Below are 21205 nucleotides of genomic sequence, written 5' to 3' on the forward strand. Positions count from 1 at the left end.
GCAGGAGAATTACTTGAACCCAGGAGGCAGGGGCTGCAGTGAGCTAAGATTGGCACCATTGCACTCCAGCCTGGGTGACAGAGTGAGACTCCATCTCAAAAAAAAAGACTGGGTGTGGTGGCTCACATCTGTAATCCCAGCACTTTGGGAGGTTGAGGCGGGCAGATCACCTGAGGTTGGAAGTTTGAGACCAGCCTGACCAACATGGAGAAACCCCATCTCTACTAAAAAATAAAAAAATTAGCCAGGCGTGGTGGCACATGCCTGTAATCCCAGCTACTCGAGAAGCTGAGGCGGGAGAATCGCTTGAACCCGGGAGGCAGAGGCTGCAGTGAGCCAAGATCACGCCATTGCACTCCAGCCTGGGTAACAAGAGCAAAACTCCATTTCAAAAAAAATGCTGTTTCCATGGGCTTTTCTTTATGAGATTCATAGATATAAAAAATGTTTTAAGACTAGACTTGCTATAATTTTGTTCTTAATAGGGCGAAATGACCCTGAATGTGACCTGTGTGGTGGAGACCCAGAAAAGAAATGTCATTCTTGCTCCTGTCGTGTATGTGGTGGGAAACATGAACCCAACATGCAGCTTCTGTGTGATGAATGTAATGTGGCTTATCATATTTACTGTCTGAATCCACCTTTGGATAAAGTCCCAGAAGAGGAATACTGGTATGATTATCAGGTTTTTGTTGTTGTTGTTCTTGCTGTGTAAACATGAAATATGTATTTGAACCACCAAAAGTAGATTTCTAAAGATACATAATATAAAAGTGCTTAAAATGTTATGGCCAGTGGTTACTTAGCATTCATAGCTCTATTCAATTACTGTAACAACCTCTGAACCATCTCTTGCTCCATTTTTTAATCCCTTCCGTTTCTTCTCTGATAATAGACTCTGTGTTCATTCAAAAATGCAAATCTGATCATGTTGCTTTGTTGCTTCAGATGGTTTATGTTGCCTTACAGGAGGACCCTGTGTGATATTTAGTTGCTTCTCCAGCAGTATCTCTTACCACTTTCCTCTTTCATTTCCCCAAATACTCTACACTGTAGCCAGATTAAATATCTTTCAACTCCTTAAGTAAGCCATGTTCTTTTTCAGGTTGTCACACTTGACATATTTTTATCCTGGAAACATTACCCTCTTTGGTTAACTTCAAGACGATACTAATCCTTCAGCTTTTCAGTTAAATGTGGCTTCCTCTGGTAATCCTTTATGGATGGTCCTCTACCCCTAACCATGTTAGATATCCTTGTTATGTTCTATAATAGTACTTAATATTTACTAAACACTAACAAAGTGGTTTATATGGATTACTGTATTTAATCCTGTGACGTTGATACATTGAAGAAGGCTCCAATTATACTTGCCAAAATCTATTTTTCTCCTATGGCGTGGTGATAACTACAAAAAGAAGTTATTAGAAAAGAGACTGGGAAAAATGTTTCCAAAGTTGAACCTTTTAATACCATGTTAAGGAGGTTTTTTCTTTTTAAACTATGTGCCATATTGCTACTGGTGAGCGTTTTTAAGTAAGACGGACGACTGAGTCAGAAATAACTGATGTCACAAGTGGGTAATTGGTATCTGTGAAAAATAGATTGTTCCTTTGATCTCTCCCTAACCTGTTGGGAAGGCAATTGCTGTATTATGACAGGCTGTAGAGGTGAGAGAAAGGGGGAAAGGATATATCTTCTTCCTTTTACCTCCTACTACTACCTCATATGATCACACTCTGAATTTTACCATCGCTAATAACTATTTCCTCTGACGTCTCATATTTTCCTTCTTTCTTGTTCAATGGATGACATATTCCTGCTTCTCTAAAATACGCTCTTTCACCTGCTCTCACAGTTCCATAGTCTTTCCAGAAACTTCACTTCTTCAGTTAATTCCTCTCCCACGTTGCCATTACTAGATCATTCTCATTAGCATTCTAGAATCTCTTGAATTTTCAAAATACACACAAACCTTCCTTGATCCCATTTCTCCCACTGGCTGCCTACCCCGTTCTCTGCTTCTTTCATGCAAAGATTCTCAAGAGCTATCTCTACTAATTGTTTCCATTTCCTCTCCTATTCATACTTCAGCACTCCAGTCTAGCTTTCCTTCCACTGTATCTGCTTATGTCAGGTTCACAGACACTTTTTATGTCTAAACCTAAGGGTCAGTTCTCATTCCTTACTCAACTGCTTAGCTGGTTACTCTGTTTTATAGATTTGAGATCAGGTAATCCCGATTTTCTACCTACTTCACTGGCCTTTCCTTCTTAGTCTCTTGTTGGGTTCCCGTCACCTACCAGATTTCAGAGCACCCCATCCACTCCCACCCCCAACCCTGCCAAAGCACCATCCACTTCTTTTCTATGCTAGGGAACTATGCTTGTTCCCTAGATGATCTCGTCCAATTATGAGATGTTAAATACCAAGCTAATAGTTCTGAATTTATGTCTTCATATCTAATTTCCCCTGGGCTTTATATTCCTGTATGCAGTTGGTTAGTTGACTGGGACCACAAAATTAGTCCAGATGGAGTTCTTGATTTCCACAAACTCCCTAAAATCCTGCTCCTCCCCCAGTCTTCATTAAATAGTACTAATCATTTTATCTACTTGTTCATGCCAAAAAGCTAAACTTCATCCCAATTCTTCTTTTGTTCTTTCACATACTCTACCTCAATAGATTTTGACAGTTCTTAATATTTCTCCATTCTCACCTCCCAGCCCAAACTACCATCTCTTCCTTGAACTTCTGTAACGGATGTCTAACTAGACTCTTTGCTTCCATGTACTATCCGTTCTCCCATAGCAGCAGAATGAGCTTAAAAAGGCCTGAATTAGATCATTCATCTGTTTGAAACCCTCTGATGTCTTCCTATTTCACTTAGAATAAAAAAAATCTAAGCCCTTACCATTTATGACCTGGTCCATATCTACTCTCTAACTTCGGTTGCTTATCACTAACCTGTTTACTTACTAACCTTGGTCTCTACCCACCTTTGTCTTCCTCAAAGCATACCATTTCTTTTTATGCCTCAGGACCTTTGCACTTAACTGTTTCTTTGCCAGGAATGCTTTTCTTAGGTTATCTACTGTAAGAAGCATACCACTTCTAGTCACTCTTGTCACATATAACCCTGATGTATTTCCACTTAACACTTTCTGAAATTCTTTCCGTATATGTTCTGGCTTTCCTTCACTACTATGTACAAACATTTTTATCACAAACATTTATCCCCAGCACGAAAATAGTGCCTTGCACATAGGAGGTTCTGAACAAACCTGTTGAAGGAGTGAATCAATCCCAGAGATGACTTTAGGATGGTATAATTAGAAGAGTGTTTTGTATTACTCTGGAATATATCTCTACATTCGTATCAAGGTCTTTCGCTTCACCTGAAACTCCTTAACCTTAAATCTTTTCTGCTTCTCCAAATCATGTTGTCTGGATATTTAACCTGTGCACTAATTTTCTCATCAGAGAGATAATACTTGCTTTAAATCACAGAATCTTTAATACAGTTAGTTATAAAGATGAGCCCATCAGATAAAATACAGCTTTTCTTTAGGACAGTTTATTTTTGGAAGCCTTCCTGATTTCCCAACTAGAAAGGACTTTACTTCATAGTATTTAGTGCCTTCTCAAACATAATTTGCTCAAGATCAGGGACTGAATTATTTAAATTTTTCTCTCCTATAGTGCTCAACAAAGTATCTCATAATTGGATTGACTTGTGGGCATAGTCTTCTTTGCTCTAAAAGCTACGTAGAATAGATAATTGTGAAATAGAAAGTATGGGCAAAGAAATTTAAGATTAATTGGGCAGTAGCCATTAGATCTTTGTTAGAGTATTCCCAGAGTTTCCTTTGCTTGGTGACATAAGAATAGCCTCCTCTCATTCTGTAGACGTATACCTTGCTTTTTAGAAAAGATTCAAGGCAGTTTACGAAATACAAGTTACAGTAGGGTAATCAATTACAAATAGGCTAAAGGACAAACAAGCATAAGCAATTAAAATGAAGCTAGCGATAAGGTTAATATAAACAAACATCCTTGAAGTCCTGTATACTTGTTATATAAACTACCATTTTTCTCTGGGAATTCTAATAACCAATTTAGATGGGGAGTTGTATCTGTTACACAGTTGAATGTTCTAGGAAGATCTAGCTACTTTTGTTTTAATGACAGGAACTTCAAATTTCTATTCTCAGGGTTAGTGATAAGTTTAGAGTTCATGGTATCATTTTGAATCTCATAGCTTTGAGTTTTGAACTGAATTTGAGGATTTATAAGTTATCTAAAGGAATGACAAGGATATTTTTAAAGCCAGCCTAACCATGTAAATATTTTGAAAAGTTTAGTATTTTAATGCCAGTTAAAGCTCTGTAATGTATACCAAATAATACATCTTAAAACTTGCTCTTACCTAGGAAGGCTAATATTCTGTTACTAGCTTTAATATGGTATTGTGAAAATGCCTTCGTTCTTTTTTTTCTTTTAAAGGTATTGTCCTTCTTGTAAAACTGATTCCAGTGAAGTTGTAAAGGCTGGTGAAAGACTCAAGATGAGTAAAAAGAAAGCAAAGATGCCGTCAGCTAGTACTGAAAGCCGAAGAGACTGGGGCAGGGTAAAGAAGAAATTCCCCTTTTCTTCCTAATAGCAAGTTATAATATATAATGTTTTAATACCAATAGTAGTAATGGTATAAAAGATTAAACAGTATCATTATTTGTTAATATCAATGGTACTTAAATTACATAAACAGTTGGGTTCCTAGTCACATCTCAGAATTAAGGGCTTTCATTAAAATTTAACATAACTGATTTCTCAACGTTTGTTTTGCGTCTTGTAGGGAATGGCTTGTGTTGGTCGTACGAGAGAATGTACTATTGTCCCTTCTAATCATTATGGACCCATTCCTGGTATTCCTGTTGGATCAACTTGGAGATTTAGAGTTCAGGTATGTTTTAACTTGGGCTTAGTTGAAAGGGGAGAATTGGCTATCAGATTATAGCAATGTTAATGTCTGTTGATTGTAAGTGAACCTAACACATGACATTCACTTGTTAGAATGAAATATATTTTTTAGGATGGGTGTACTCTTCCTGGAGGTTAACAAAGGAACATACATCACAGAATTGGGCATTAGCTATGCATTTTCATCACTTTGTTTTTACTGTTCTGTTATAGTTGTGGTAGTAACCATTATTGTTAAGCTTTCTAAACAGCCTTTCCTGCCAAAAATTTAGCATTTGAAATATTAAACTTGAATCATGTGGCAAATTCTCATTGAATGTCGTGGAACTCTAAGCTTGTTTCAGGTGTTGTTTTTGGGATTTATCCTCCTGAACAAATGCTAAGACATTGGGCAGAGGAAGTGCCAGCTAATCCAAGAATAAAATAATTTCCCATTTCCAATTACAGACACCCAGGATTCTGAATATTAAATAAGAGGGGCCTTTTTTTTTTTTTTTTGAGATGGAGTCTTGCTCTGTTGCCTAGGCTGGAGTGCAGTGGTGCGATCTCAGCTCACTGCAAGCTCTGCCTCGTGGGTTCACGCCATTCTCCTGCCTCAGCCTCCAAAGTAGCTGGGACTACAGGCGCCTGCCACCACGCCTGGCTAATTTCTTGTATTTGTAGTAGAGACGAGGTTTCACCGTGTTAGCCAGGATGGTCTCGATCTCCTAACCTCGTGATCCACCTGCCTTGGCCTCCCATTACAGGCATGAGCCACTGCGCCCGGCCTGGCTTTAATTTTTATATTGAATGGCCCTGGTACTTAGACCTTTAATACAATATAACATTTAGATAACATACACTTATCCCTTGGTATCTGTCGGGGATTGGTTCCAAGATCCCCTATAGACACCAAAGTCTGTGGATGCTCAAATTGCACACAAGCTCAGGCTGGTGTGGTGGCTCACACCTGTAATCTCAGCACTTTGGAAGGCCGCAGCAGCCAGATCGCTTGAGGCCAGGAATTCAAAACCAGCCTCGCCAACATGGTGAGACCCATCTCTACTAAAAATACAAAAATCAGACAGGTGTGGTGGCAAGCGCCTATAATACCAGCTACTCAGGAGGCTGAGGCAGGGGAATTGCTTGAACCCAGGAGGCAGAGGTTGCAGTGAGCCGAGATTGTGCCACTGCACTCCAGCCTGGGTGACAGAGCGAGACTCTGTCTCAAAAAAAAAAAAAAAAAAAAAAATCCTTTATACAATGGTGCAGTATTTTCATATAACCTATGCACATCCTCCTTTATATGTTAAATCACCTCTAGATTACCTATAATACCTAATAAAGTGTAAATGCTATGTAAATAGTTGTTAACACTGTATTGTTTGCAGAATCATGACAAGAAAAAGTCTGGACAGATTCAGTACAGACACAGCCGTCTGTTTATTTTTCCCAAATATTTTTTACTCTCTCGACTTGGCAGATGTGGAACCTGTGGGCCAACTGTAATACATAAAAATGGCTTGAAAAGCTATGTATATATTAAATACTAGTAAATAATTTATATTTTAAAAACGCGCCCTACTTTTATCTTTTTTGTTTGTTTGTTTGGAGACAGAGTTTCACTCTTGTTGCCCAGGCTGGAGTGCAATGGCACGATCTTGGCTCACCACAACCTCTACCTCCCGGGTTCAAGCAATTCTCCTGCCTCAGCCTCCCAAGTAGCTGGGATTACAGGCATGCACCACCACGCCTGACTAATTTTGTATTTTTAGTAGAGACAGGGTTTCTCCATGTTGGTCAGGCTGGTCTCGAACTCCCAACCTCGGGTGATCTGCCTGTCTCAGCCTCCCAAAGTGCTGGGATTACAGGCGTGAGCCACTGCACCCGGCTTCATCATCATTTTCTGTTTCTCAGAGGCAGCCACTTTAAAATTTTAGTTGTCTCCTATGCATTTACCTTCTTATTTCTTTCTTTCTTTTTTTTTTTTTTTAAGAGACAGGGTCTTGCTCTATCACCCAGGCTGGAGTGCAGTAGCAATGACAGCTCACTGTAACTTCAGACTTCTGGGCTCAAGTGATCATTCCACCTAGCTAGGACTAAAGATGTAAAGATGTATACCACCATGCCTGGCTGTGTTTTTGTTTTGTTTTGTTTTTTGGTAGAGACAGGGTCATGCTATGTTACCCAGGCTAGTCTCAGACTCCTGGCCTAAAGCAGTACTCCAGCCTTGGCCTCCCAAAGCACTGGGATTATAGGCTTAGTGGCGGCGGTGGTGGCAGGTGTGGCAGCAGCTTCTCCTCCTCCTCCTCCTCCCTCCTCCCTCCTCCCTCCTGTCTCTTCCCTCCTCCCTCCTCCCCCCTCCTCCTGGATGCAGTGCCATAATCACAGTCCCCTCCTGGGCTCAAGCTGTCCTTTACTCTGAGCCACCAGAGTAGCTGAAACTACAGGCACACACCACCACACCCAGCTGATTTTTGTGTTTTTTTTTTTTTTTGTAGAGTCTGGGTTTCACCATATTGCCCAGACTGATCTTGAATCCCTGGGGTCAATTTCTCCTGCCTTAGTTTCCCAAAGTACTGGGATTACAGGTATGAGCCACTGTGCCTTGCCCTACCTTCTTATTTCTATTAATAAATAATGTATTTATACTGTTTTTAATTTATCTTTTAGTTGTATTCACTTCTTTCTTTTTTTTTTTTTTTTTTTTTTTTTGAGACGGAGTTTTGCTGTTGTTGCCCAGGCTGGAGTGCAGTGGCACAATCTCGGCTCACCGCAACCTCCGCCTCCTGGTTTCAAGCAATTCTCCTGCCTCAGCCTCCCAAGTAGCTGGTATTACAGGTATACGTCACCATGCCCAGCTAATTTTGTATTTTTAGTAGAGATGGGGTTACTCCATGTTGGTCAGGCTGGTCTCAAACTCCCGACCTCAGGTGATCCACCCGCCTTGGCCTCCCAAAGTGCTGGGATTACAGGCGTGAGCCACCGTGCCCAGCCATATTAACTTCTTTCTGTGGAAGATGAAACATTTAGTTTAATACTCTCTGTGTTCTCTTATCTTTGCAATAGTTGTATTATAATTTTGGTTGAACCAGTATTCAGAGTTTAGGTTATTATGACTTTGGATCTATAAATACAATAAAATACTGTATATAAATTGAATATACTACTATAAATATAGTAAAAATACACTTTGTGTATTTCTAATTGCCTTATTTTTTTGCATCTTTTTTCGTATACCTGTCTGTCACGTATTTATTTTCTAAACTCTGAAAGCCTCCTTATATAGTCTAAGATGACTATGAGGTTGTTTTCCTGAGCATCTAGTGAGATGGATTTGCTATTTAGAAAGTGGGGAAGATTTAGGAAAAACAGATTATTTTGGCCAGGGTTGATGAGGTGGGGAGATCAAATGGTACCTTCTGCTGAGGTGTTTCAAAAGCCAAAACCTTTCCAGGTTCTGTTGCTGTCACCTTCTTGTTGGCTTCTAAAAGCTTCTAAAGTGCCTTTCCACCCCCGCCCCCCGCCCCAAATTATTGTGCAAGCTTGAATTCAGTTTCCTTTACTCTGCTAAGAACAATTGTATTGGCCAGGCGTGGTGGCTCACACCATAATCCCAACACTATTGGGGGCTGAGGCTGGAGGATTGCTTGAGCCCAGGAGTTCAAGACCAGCCTGGGCAACATGGTGAGACCCCTGTCTCTACCCAAAAAAAAAAAAAAAAAAAAAAAAACAAAACCCAAAACCAATTGTATGACCAACAGATGAACTGCAATACCTTTTTCAGGGAGTTTGAAGTTCACAAAGAAGTGACACTTGTTTCAGTGAGGCAGGAATGAAGATATGAGGGGAAAAGCCGTCATCCATTGAAGTAGAAATGGATAGCATGTTTGGGTAATATTGAGTAGTTTTGGCTCAGGCATATATGTTCCTTGAAGGAGAAGCTGCACATAAGGCTAGGAAAAATAGATAGGAGCCATATTTAGAGAGGGTAATAAATCATGTTGACTTGGGTTTGATACTGTGTGACCACTTAATATATTTTAAGAAGTTGAAAGTCAAAAGCAGAATTATTTTTAAAAGAATCATCCAGTTTGTGATAGATAGGATGGGTTTGAAGGAGCAAAACTAGAGGCAGTAAAAAAAGGATCTGTTGTGAGCATTCATGACTCAAACTACGATTGAACAGTGGAAGTACAAGAAGATGGATTTGAGAAATTTAGGAGGTAAAATCAGCAATCCTTGTAACCAAAAGGGTTTGAGGAATAAGGGAGAAGAATGGGGCTAAAATAACTCCTGCATTTTTGACTTCACAAACTAGGTAGGCAACAGGGCCACTATCCAAGACTAGAAATAAGAGAGAAACGGTATAGACTGCTGGTAGTCCTCTTTTAGCTGAGTTGAGCTGGAAGTTCCAATAGACATAAGATGATTATTTACTAGTTATTGTGCAACTCAGAATTCTACGCAATCAGTTTTAGAATTCTCAGAACCTAAAGGATATGTTTGAGGAGATTTAAAATGAGAGAGCAAAAGATAGAACTCTGTGAGACTCACTTCTTGGATCTTTAGGTACCAGGAGATTTAAAATGAGAGAGCAAAAGATAGAACTCTGTGAGACTCACTTCTTGGGTCTTTAGGTACCAAGAATATATATGAAAGCATTTTGTAAATGTATCTTAACTGTTCAGAGGTATTTTGAGACTCTCTTTAATTGTTTTATAGGTGAGCGAAGCAGGTGTTCACAGACCCCATGTTGGTGGAATTCATGGTCGAAGTAATGATGGGGCTTATTCTCTTGTACTGGCTGGTGGATTTGCGGATGAAGTCGTAAGTCATTATACAACCTTACTCATTAGTACCTGCCTTGACCATTTGTAAAATAGAATAGCTTTGCCTAGGATACATCAAATACTGTTGTGTCTTTTTAGCACAGTTTTTGTTGAAGTAATCAGTTTTATACAAGTTAGAAAGTAAATCATTTGACAGTGTTTATTCTTTACATGTACTGGTTTGACTTATATGTGTTTGTTAAGTGATTATTATAAGGAAAACACATTCTCTATAGAGCTTTTATTTTTTTTTCCTTTTTTTTTTTTTTTTTTTTTTTTTGAGATGGAGTCTCGCTATATCACCTGGGCTGGAGTGCAGTGGTGTGATCTCAGCTCCCTGCAACCTCTGCCTTTGGGTTCAAGTGATTTTCCTGCCTCAGCCTCCCAAGTATGTGAGATTTCAGGCGCCTGCCATCACACCTGGCTAATTTTTGTATTTTTATGTATTTATTTTTTGAGGCGGAGTTTTACTCTTGTCACCTAGACTGGAGTTCAGTGGCTCAGTCTCGGCTTACTGCAATCTCCTCCTCCCAGATTCAAGCGATTCTCCTGCCTCCACCTCCTGAGTAGCTGGGATTACAAGTATGCACCACTGTGCCTGGCTAATTCTTGTATTTTTAGTAGAAATGGGGTTTCACCACGATGGCCAGGCTGGTCTCGAACTCCTGACCTCAGGTGATCCTCCCGCCTTGGCCTCCCAAAGTGTTGGGATTACAGGCGTGAGCCACCACACCTGGTCAATTTTTGTATTTTTAGTAGAGCTGGGGTTTCGCCATGTTGGCCAGGTTGGTCTCAAACTCCTGACCTCAGATGATCTGCGCACCTTGGCTTCCCAAACTGCTGGGATTATAGGCGTGAGCCACGGTGCCCATCCTCTATAGAGCTTTTTTTGGTCATTCTTCTTTAAGTTTTCTCTTTTAAAAAATAAAAACTGGTTCCAGTGTTAAATCTATAGAGTTTATTTTTTAAAATTAAACTTACTATTTTGAGATAGTTGTAGATTCACGTGTAGCATTAGAAACAATACAGAGGGCCGAATCCAGTGGCTCATGCCTGTAATCCCAGCACTTTGAGAGGCTGAAGTGGGTGAATCTCTTGAGCTCAGGAGTTCAAGACCAGCCTGGGCAACGTGGCAAAGCCCTGTCCCTACCAAAAAAACAGAGAAATTAGCTGGGTGTGGTGGCATGTGCCTGTAGTCCCGGCTACCCAGGAGGATGAGGCAGGAGGATTGCTTGAGCTCAGGAGGTCGAGGCTGTAGTGAGCCATGATCATGCCAGCGCAGCACTCCAGCCTGGGTGAACAGAGAGCAAGACCCTGTCTCCTTAAAAAAAAAAAAAAAAAAAAAAAAAAAAAAAAAAAAAAAAAAAAAAAAAAAAAAAATGCGGGAAGGGGATCCTGTGCCCTCTACCCAGTTTCTCCCAGTGGTGACATCTTGCAAAACTATATAGTACAATATCAGAACCAGGATATTGACACTATACAGTCAGGCTGAACATTTATATTACCACAGTTTCCATTATTGTGTTGCCCTTTTATAGCTACACCTATCAGACGTAGCCCCCCCACTGCTTCTTAACCTCTGACAACCACTAATCTTTTCTCTTTTTCTTTTCTTTTTTTTTTTTTTTTTTTTTTTTGAGATGGAATCTTGCCCTTGTCGCCCAGCTTGGAGTGCAATGGCGCCATCTCAGTTCACTGCAAGCAGCCTCCTGAATAGCTGGGATTACAGGCGGCCGGTTAATTTTTGTGTTTTTACTAGAGATGGGGTTTCTCCATATTGGCCAGGCTAGTCTGGAACTCCTGGCCTCAGGTGATCTGCCCACCTCGGCTTCCCAAAGTGCTGGGATTACAGGCATGAGCTACCGTGCTGAGTGTTTTTTTTTTGTTTTGTTTTGTTTTTTTTGAGATAGAGTCTCACTCTGTCTTCCAGGCTACAGGGCAGTGATGCGATTTCGGCTCACTGCAACCTCTGCCTCCCAGGTTCAAGTGATTCTCCTGGTGCAGCTTTCCGAGTAGCTGGGACTACAGGCATGCATCGCCATTGACTAATTTTTGTATTTTTAGTATAGGTGGGGTTTCACCATGTTGGCCAGGCTGGTCTCAAACTCCTGACCTCAAGTGACCCGCCTACCTCAGCCTCCCAAAGTGCTGGGATTACAGGCGTGAGCCACTGCTCCCAGCCTCATTTCTTCCTGTAATTTTCTCACTTCAAGAATTTTTATAAATGGAAGTATGTAGCATATTATATATTAACCTTTAGGATTGGCTTTTTCCACTCAGCATGATTCTCTGGAGATTGTGGCATGTATCAATAGTTCATTTCTTTTTATTGATGAGTACTAGTCCATGGTGTGGATGTACCACAGTTCATTTAATCATTTACTCATGGAAGAACAGCTGGGTTCTTTTGAGTTTTTAGCTATTACAGATAAAGCTACAGTAAATATTTGTGAACAGGTTTTTTGTAAACGTAAGTCTTTATTTCTTTGGAATAAATGCCCCAGAAGTGCAATTCCTGGGTCATATGTGGCAGTTGCATGTTTAGTTGTTTAAAGAAACTGCCAAACTGTTTTCTCCAGTGACTACCATTTTATGTTCCTATCGGCAGTATATGAGTGATCCAGTTTCTCTGCATCTCACCAGCATTCGCTGTTGTTGCTGTTTTTTGTTTTAGCCATTCTGATAGGTGTGTGTTGATATCTTATTGTTGGACGTGATTCGTTTGCTTATTTGCCATCTGTATAGCCTCTTTAGTAGTATAGCACTTCAGGTTTTTTGGCCATTTTCTAATTGGGTTTTTGTTTTTTTTTTTTTTTTTTACCATTCATCAGATATGTGGTCTTCAGGTATTTACTTGCTTTCATGGATTGTTACAAAGATGAATCAATATGAGTAGTTATGGAGAGAGAACACAAAATATAGTATGTTTTCAGACAAATAGAAAAGCGTGCTGGCTTTCTGAAAGGCGGATTTGGCAGTGCATTTACATTAACATGGCAAAGTAAATGGAAATGGAAATATTTAGGTTCATCCTTTGCATTCTTCTTTAGCATCCATATTTTGAAGCTATATCTTTGTATATTTGTCAGAAATACAAAAGATGTTATATAGTTTATTACAGTCAGCTCTTGGAATTTTTTGAAGGCTTTATAAATAAACCAACTAGAAATGTAGTCTCTTTAACATTTGTTTTTAGTGTCTGAGCAATTGTATTTGATCTGGTCTCTGACATTTGTTGTATTTGAGACTTGGGCCAAATTATTTAACTCTGGTAACTCAGTTTCCCCATCTGTAAAAAGAAGAAATAGTATTTTATGTGGAGAAGATGATTACATTAACTGAGATAATTTATGTGGCCCTTTGCACATAGCACGGACTCAAATGTTAGTTATATTCTCTGTAGCAGAATATTAAATAAGGCCAGTCACAGTGGCTCATGCCTGTAATCTCAGCACTTTCGGAGTCCGAGGTGGGCTGATCACTTGAGGTCAGGACTTCGAAACCAGCCTGGCCAACATGATGAAACTCCGTCTCTACTAAAAGTACAAAAATTACCCAGGCGTGGTGATGCATGCCTGTAATCCCAGCTACTTGGGAGGCTGAGGCAGGAGAATCACTTGAACCCAGGAAGCAGAGGTTGCGGTGAGCCAAGATCACATCACTGTACTCCAGCCTGGATGACAAAGTGAGACTCTGTCTTTAAAAAGAAGAAAAGAATATTATCTTAAATATATGAAGTTTATTTTCTTGTTTCCATGTTTTTGAATATACTTACTGGTCAAACGTTAAAACATTTGTGGAGATAAGTACTGATGAACTGCTAATTGTCTTAGTTAAGTCTGTTACATAATGTGAAGAAAAATTTTAGGACTAAGATGACATATAGGCCTTGATTGACAGCTAAAATGTGTCTGGAAATGTTTATATATTTTATAAGCATTTTCAACTTTTTGATCTTTCTATTGTAGGCAAGTATATCTATAGGATTAGGAAAAGGAAACCTGAATAAGCTTTTCACATTTAAGAAAAAAAGTTTCCTGAATTCTTGAATTTGGTATAAATTTCATGAAGCCAGTGATCTTTGTTCTGTCTGGGTGAATGGATGTAATACTCTTGCGTACCTGCTGATAACTGAGTTAATATTTTAGCCTAGTAACTTAAGAATTAATCAAATGCCAGTTTTAGTGCCTTGTATTTTGGTGACCTCTTCTGAGAAGTGAGGACCCACAAAGATGACCTCTCAGTTGTCTTGAGAAGTAGTTTGCTCAGTGTTCAGGAGAAGACTCGGAAGCCAGAGTCTGTTTGGTTTTGTGTCCTGGCTGTGGAGCCATCTCTTTTCCTAGTTGTGTGATTTTAGGCGATTTACTGAACCTCTGCCACATCTGTAAAATAAGATTTATAGCACTTAAAGGCTTGCTGTGAGGTTTAAATGAATTAATTATACGTAAAATGCTTCTCCTAACACCACCTAACCCACCAGTAGTAGATGTGTGTTACACTAGCAGTGGTACAGTTTTGCAGGGATGTAAAGGGTGTTATGAGAGAAGTTGGTAACATTTGAGGCTATGGTCTAGACAACCTTGAATTAAGTCATTAAAGGAGTTTGGAGAATGTTTGTCTTCATTGTGCTTTGGAATTATTTATCTGATAGTCTATAGGGAGGAGGCTGAGAAGTTTGGGATAAAGGTCTTCCACCTGATCTTGATGATGGCAAGAATGTGAGCATCCAGCTTGTTGTCTTAGGCAGTTGCTTTAGCAGCTTGGGAGAAGAATAGAGGTTGGGAATAACTGAAGAACTGAGTTACTTTGGGGCAGTGCTGTGTCCCTTGTGCAGATAGAGCTGCTTTATGTGAGCTCTTCCCAGGCAGCAGAACTTGTTTAGGCTACTGCCTGCCAGGCACAATTTAATGGATCATTGACTAGAAGATGCAACAAATTTAGGCTGATTATTTTTCCATAGGAAAAATATTTTATTTTTATTTTTTAATAGAGACAAGGTCTCGCTATGTCACCCAGGCTGGTCTTGAACTCCTGGGCTCAAGCAGGCCAACTGCTTTGGCCTCCCACAGTGCTGGGATTACAGGCATGAATCATTGCGCCTGGCCTTTCCATAGGAAAAATAGCCTGAAATAATATGGTTTGAGCTCTTACAGTCTTGACAGTTTTTTCCCTCGTGATAATATAATGTTTTTGTTGATGTAATGATTAAAGTACAAATGAGTTAATGGTACAGAATTTTAGCCATGTTTCCTTGATTTGCTGCTTGAAGAATAATCAGAAATGTTTTAAATACTATTTAGCTTACATTTGTCTTATTATGCTCTCTTACTTTCCATTACTTTTTCTTTATGGCACTCCCATAATAACTTGAAAAGTTGACAGAGTTATGAATATGAATATTGTGGAGTCTGTCCAGATACCGGGTGGAAGACTGGTTTTGATCAGTTTAAGAAGTATTCTAAACTGTTCTAGATGTACGTATTTATTAGAATTCCTTCTCATAGAATACATACTAAAGATTAAGTTTCGTAATACCTTGTTTAAAAAATATGTAGACCTTAATATTGGATTAACAAAAGGTGAAAGTAAATTTAAGGGTTTTGGACCAATAACACTTTAAGACCATGAGATGTTTATTTGTGGCTTTTAATCCAAGGGAAAAACAAAGTATAAATAATTGACTTCTATAATACGAATTTAGTAGACACAAAACATCATTGTCTAAGTTGTCTAAACTAATTAAAATGATCTTGCATTAAAGAATCACTATTTTGCTAGTGTTAGTAGGATTAATTGTGCACTGATAGTTACTTTTCTTAATTTGTTTCAAGTACTGAATCAGATAGAGACAATAATATCCATATAAATTTGTAGCTGCTATAGAAGTAATTGGAGAGCTTTTGGCTTTTTTTTTTTTTTTTTTTTTTACATTTAGTAGATACTTTATACTACTTTTAGATTTTTCAAATTTTTTCCAAATTTCTTCTTAATGGGAGGCTATTATTTTACCTGAATGTGTGATATGGGTGAACCCACAGAATGTGAAATAAAGGGAACTTAACTATGCTGTTAGAATTTTAATATGAAAGCCAGGGCGCAGTGGGTCATGCCTGTAATCCCAGCACTTTGGGAGGCCAAGGCGGGTGGATCACTTGAGACCGGGAGTTGGAGACCAACATGGCCAACATGACAAAACCCCATCTCTACTAAAAATACAAAAGCTAGACAGGCGTAGTGGCACATTCCTGTAATCCCAGCTGCTTGGGAGGCTGAGGCAGGAGAATCGATTGAACCTGGGAGGCAGAGGCTACAGCGAGCCGAGATCGTGCCACCGCACTCCAGCCTGGGTGACAGAGCAAGACTCTGTTTAAAAAAAAAAAGTTAAGGTGAAGTTTTTAGGTAAATTTGCTTTTGTAGTACTTATTTATTGTCAATGCCAGAATTTGAAATTTGAGGCAGCACACTTAGGTATGGTGTAGATGTCAGTTGGAAATTTGGTTATGGAGTGTTTGTTGAAGTGGTATTATCTATAAAGAACCTACAAGCTAGTATTGATAAGTTTTAACATTGAATTGAATAAAATATAATATTTAAATCCATAAGACCTTACCTTGTTTGTAACATTCTGTTGATTATTTTACTACATATATAGCATGAGACTAACCATATTTGGAGATGTTGAAAAGTATAATTTAAAGTGAAAGTGTTAGGTCAAGTTATATGACTTGAAAGTATACTACACACAAGATTGCATTTAAATTTTGCATTATTTTGGGAGATGCCTCAAGAGAAAATGTCAACTCATAACATCCTAATGAAATGTTTTGACTCTGAAATAAGAATTGATGAAATTATACTTGGGTTTAGCTTTCTTAATAAAGAAAATCTTCTCTGACAGGACCGAGGTGATGAGTTCACATACACTGGAAGCGGTGGTAAAAATCTTGCTGGTAACAAAAGAATTGGTGCACCTTCAGCTGATCAAACATTAACAAACATGAACAGGTACTACTATAGACACTGTTTAGAATTTGAACATTGAATAAAAGTTTCATTATAGGACTGTAAATTGTAACTTACGTTGCAGAGGAGAATTTCAAACTGGGAGTTAAAGATCTGAAATTAAAATTCCAGTGCCTGATTATGTAATTGTTTTTCAGCATCCTAACATATCTTTATACTGTTATTTTTTAAATGCCATAATTTCTAGTCTTACTGAATACATGTGATATGCATTTGAAAATGTTAACAACTTTGAAGGAAAGGAGCCTGTGTAATTTAAGTGAAATTGAGAATAAGGTGGCTTGTCTACTACTCCATTGGTCAAAGCTAAAAGTGACAAACTCCTTTTTAGAGTAAACTCAGTAATTTGAAATAAAGTTATGTTTGGGAGCCACATTTATGTACATAAATGAAACATAAGGTAACTTAATCAGATCTGTACTGAATGTACTTTTAGAATGTCTGCTAATCAGATATCTTCTAAGAGTTGTTAAAGGGAATGTTCATTTAGTTACAAAAGTGATCTTTTCTAACTAAATCCCCTTAAGACATTACAAAAGAGCCACCGTGTGCTGATCTTTATTCTATAGAAATACTAATGACATCTCAGCTCCCGTGGGTACAGAAAATTTATTAATTTCAAAATGTTTTATTTTATAAATGCATGCTAATACCAATATTAATAAGTAACCCAGACCACCAGATAGCAAAAATCACATTATAGTTTGTCCTGCTGAAATTTTTGTGAACATTTCATAAAGTTAACAGTTTTTATATCCTGTTACTAAGGGTATTTTGTCGATTGAGTAAAAGTGAGTGTTTTTCACTTTGAGTCTAAATCACTCAGTTTTAAGTAGTGTCCCCTTAATTTCTGATTACTGTGTGATGTAAAGAATATACCAGTATGATTTCAAGACTTTCATGCGTATCAATTTACATAGAATCTCTGTTTTTATGTGTTCTATATTGTTTCTGATAGTAGGATTATTTTTACTGAACCAGCAGAGGAGACAGGTCAGATTTGCTGGTGAAAACATTCTTGAGACAGGAGCTTAGCTATTCTTTTCTAGCAAGAAAGCAGTCCTTCAAGAAGAGTGTCTTAAAATAAATATTTTGATGTGTTTTTGTCAATGAAAATGTATCTCAAATTTGCAAAAGGACTCTTTCAAGTTGTCAAATCTGAAAATTATTTTTCCCTTTAATAATCGATAATTTTGCTTGAAAGGAACTTCCTTCATAACTACCCACCATTGTAATGTACATGTTAAGATTCCTTTCACACTTTTGGACAATCTGATAAGTACCGCTACAATCTCATTAGAAAATAATTGACAAGCAGTAAACATGTTTTCTATAAAGAGGAGATAGTGAAAATGAAATATCAACTGAAAACAATTTAGGATTGAATTATCAGAGAGACTTTAACATCTGGTCAGTTTATACGTTAAGTTGTGAATACGCCTTGTGATTGTAAAAGTGCTTGGGCAAAGGTACCTGTATGTCTTACAAACATGAAAACTGAGGTGAAAGGCACTTTGCTCTGACCCATAGTATACTCTTTGCCCAGTAGTGTATGGTTGAATTCATTTTTGCTTCTTTGCTAAGAGGTAGTTCGACACCTTCTTGCTTCTGAGTTTATTCCTATTTCTTCCCAGCTCTTCAAACTTTAAGAAACTGAAGAGGGCAGCAAAGTAACCTGGCCATCTTTTATCAGGGCAGTCAGAGGCACCTGACTGGCTGAGTGGCAGATAGATTAATGGAGGAGCTTTGTTGCTGTATTGCCTAGTTTCATCCTCTTGGACTCTTTTCATATACTTGAATAGCCTAATTATCTGAAGCCAGAAGTGAGTTGACAGTGCCAGTTAGTGGTGGCAGTAATTATGACTGAAGGTATCTGTGAGCATTAAAGCATTCCATTCAGTGACATGAATGAAACTTACCCTAGCTCTTTAAGATAAAATAGGTGTAATATCTCAATAGGTATTCTGTAAGACGTAATAGTAGCCCTAGAGTTGATGGCTGTGTTTTTTTCTACCTCTCAGAATTTTAATGCATCTTCCTTTTAGATTAAAAAAAAAAGGTAACTTGGGAAGCTTCAACTCTTTGACCACAGCTATATAAGTTATTTTTTAAAACAAAATACTTTCAAGTTTATTTACTCACTAAAAATATAATTATGGTCAAGACATTTCTTTTCAATAGGTTAGTCATTTTCTTGACGTCTATTTTTTTTAACTTGAGCCTGCATAAAAAGAATTAAACCCTGAAGAAGTATTTTATGTCATATCTGCTTTCACCAGATTGGGTATAGTTCTGTTTTTTGTTTGTTTTTTAAACCTTAAGTGTTCTCAGTGTTTTCTTTTCACTTAAGACGTAGGTGTCCTAGAGGAAAATGCTAATTTTAAACTGATTCTAAAATTGTTATTTTAAAATAGTAAAAATAACTTAAATACAGATTTTGGTACAACTAGGTTCTCCCAAGAGTAAGGTCTTCTAACATCTAATAAGCTCATTGATTTACTACTATTAGGTGAATGCATATACTAAATAAGTTCCAGCTAAGTCAGGTACTACTTCCAATTCAGTGTTCTTCTTTGACCATGCATTAATGCATTATCAGTAAAATGTAGTGATCTCAAGCAGCCAGAAGTCTTCATTGTCATTAGCACAGGCATTTGGATGCTTCAGGCTTATTGAAATTTATCTTTTTATGGAGACCTTTAAAGAACATTCTCATACACCACTTATTCTTAATATCTTTTAAACTTTAAGGATTCTCTATTGTCTGGAATGTGGAAAGTAGACCTGGGAAGGTCATTTGTACCTTGCTGACAAATTTATATTTCTGGATTTCTTTCTACATTATTCCAGCAATTCACCTTACACCCTTACCAAAGATCACTATTGAAAAAATCATTTGCTTTAGTTTTCCAACGTTCTCCCTTCCCCCAACAAACGTTATTTAAAGAAAAATTCCATGTATTTCTAGTTGTTTTCTATTATACGTGGCACAGATGTTATTACTTTCAGAAGAACCCTACAGGCTATCTGAGAACCAATCCCCTGGCTTGGGGGTGACATCAGAAAACTGATTTGTCTTCTCTGCTGGTGGGGGAAAGCATAATCCTATTATCTGGAATAATATGGAAAGAATCATAGAATCTTAACCATCAGGTAAGGTATAATTCACCTTTTAATTGAGCTAATGACTCGATTGTGTACTTGAAGAAAAATTACATGGTATAAAGACTTCTTTGTTGTTTTTTAGGGCATTGGCCCTAAACTGTGATGCTCCATTGGATGATAAAATTGGAGCAGAGTCTCGGAATTGGAGAGCTGGTAAGCCAGTCAGAGTGATACGCAGTTTTAAAGGGAGGAAGATCAGCAAATATGCTCCTGAAGAAGGCAACAGATATGATGGCATTTATAAGGTGCTCTATCTGGCATGACATCTTGTTTGTCATTCTTCCTGGGCTTTCAAGGCAGGGTTGTTGCAAGGAACTACTGTGGGTGGGCTCGAGGAAACAGTAGCCATCTTATATTGCTACTTTTTCTGGAAATTGAACAGATGCATAAAGCAAACTCTTAACTTCAGCACTTTACTTTTAAGGCTTATTTCGAGTTCCTAGGGGCAGAGTTGGGTTAAGGTTTTTTTTTTTAAAATGTAAGTGTATGTTCTCTATAATAAAGCCATTTAAGTAACTGGCTGTTGTATAACTTGATTTTTATATATCTTTTTGAATGATTTTAGTTGTAATAGATTTTCAAAGCAGCACATCATAGTAATAGATTTTCATTCTTTGTTTAAAAAGAGGCATTTGCTGCCATCTTTACGATACAAAATTCTGTTAATTAGCATAATCTTGTTACTCTATTAAATTTATAGCAGTCTGTCCTCATGGGAAGTACTGTAATAGGAATTAAGGTCAAAACTGTTTTAGTGAATATTCTTGACTTACTGTCCTTACAGCAAAGCAGAATATTCAGAAGTTGCATTTAGTTCTGGCAAAGATTATTTTGATACCACTAATGTGATGAATAAGTCTAAATTTTAAATCTCAAACTGGCACTGAAATATTGTGATTTAGGTGGTGAAATACTGGCCAGAGATTTCATCAAGCCATGGATTCTTGGTTTGGCGCTATCTTTTAAGAAGAGATGATGTTGAACCTGCTCCTTGGACCTCTGAAGGAATAGAACGGTCAAGGAGATTATGTCTACGTTTACAGGTTAGATTACATTTGTCTAGGCTGCCTGTGTGTTCATAAAAATATACACCTCTTCTATCTACATGCCTTAACACTGGATATAACCCACAGCAATTGACTGGTGGACTATAAGGGGTGAGGAATAAGATCATGCAAATAGACAGAGGAAAAGAAGAGAAAAGGTAGTATCCTAGATGTCAGACT

General features: G+C 38.1%; 1 protein-coding gene across 12 annotated transcripts in view; it reads left to right on the plus strand.

Moving 5' to 3' along the window:
• Nucleotides 1-21205, plus strand: part of UHRF2 (ubiquitin like with PHD and ring finger domains 2) — a 93856-nt gene that overhangs the window by 63938 nt on the left and 8713 nt on the right. For 6 of the 12 annotated variants that reach the window (NM_152896.3, XM_017014253.2, XM_047422748.1 and 3 more), the window contains 7 exons: nucleotides 486-672; nucleotides 4507-4630; nucleotides 4856-4963; nucleotides 9685-9789; nucleotides 16690-16796; nucleotides 20062-20224; nucleotides 20882-21022. In NM_152896.3, coding sequence (NP_690856.1) covers nucleotides 486-672; nucleotides 4507-4630; nucleotides 4856-4963; nucleotides 9685-9789; nucleotides 16690-16796; nucleotides 20062-20224; nucleotides 20882-21022 — 935 coding nt within the window. Of the gene's footprint in view, nucleotides 1-485; nucleotides 673-4506; nucleotides 4631-4855; nucleotides 4964-9684; nucleotides 9790-15166; nucleotides 15266-16689; nucleotides 16855-19807; nucleotides 19968-20061; nucleotides 20225-20881; nucleotides 21023-21205 lie in introns of those variants that run through there. The other 6 variants (NR_046386.2, XR_007061241.1, XR_007061242.1 and 3 more) reach the window with 6 other exon arrangements.

The sequence above is a fragment of the Homo sapiens genome, chromosome 9 (genome assembly GCF_000001405.40).
Source record: "Homo sapiens chromosome 9, GRCh38.p14 Primary Assembly".
In the NCBI taxonomy this organism is placed as follows: domain Eukaryota; kingdom Metazoa; phylum Chordata; class Mammalia; order Primates; family Hominidae; genus Homo; species Homo sapiens.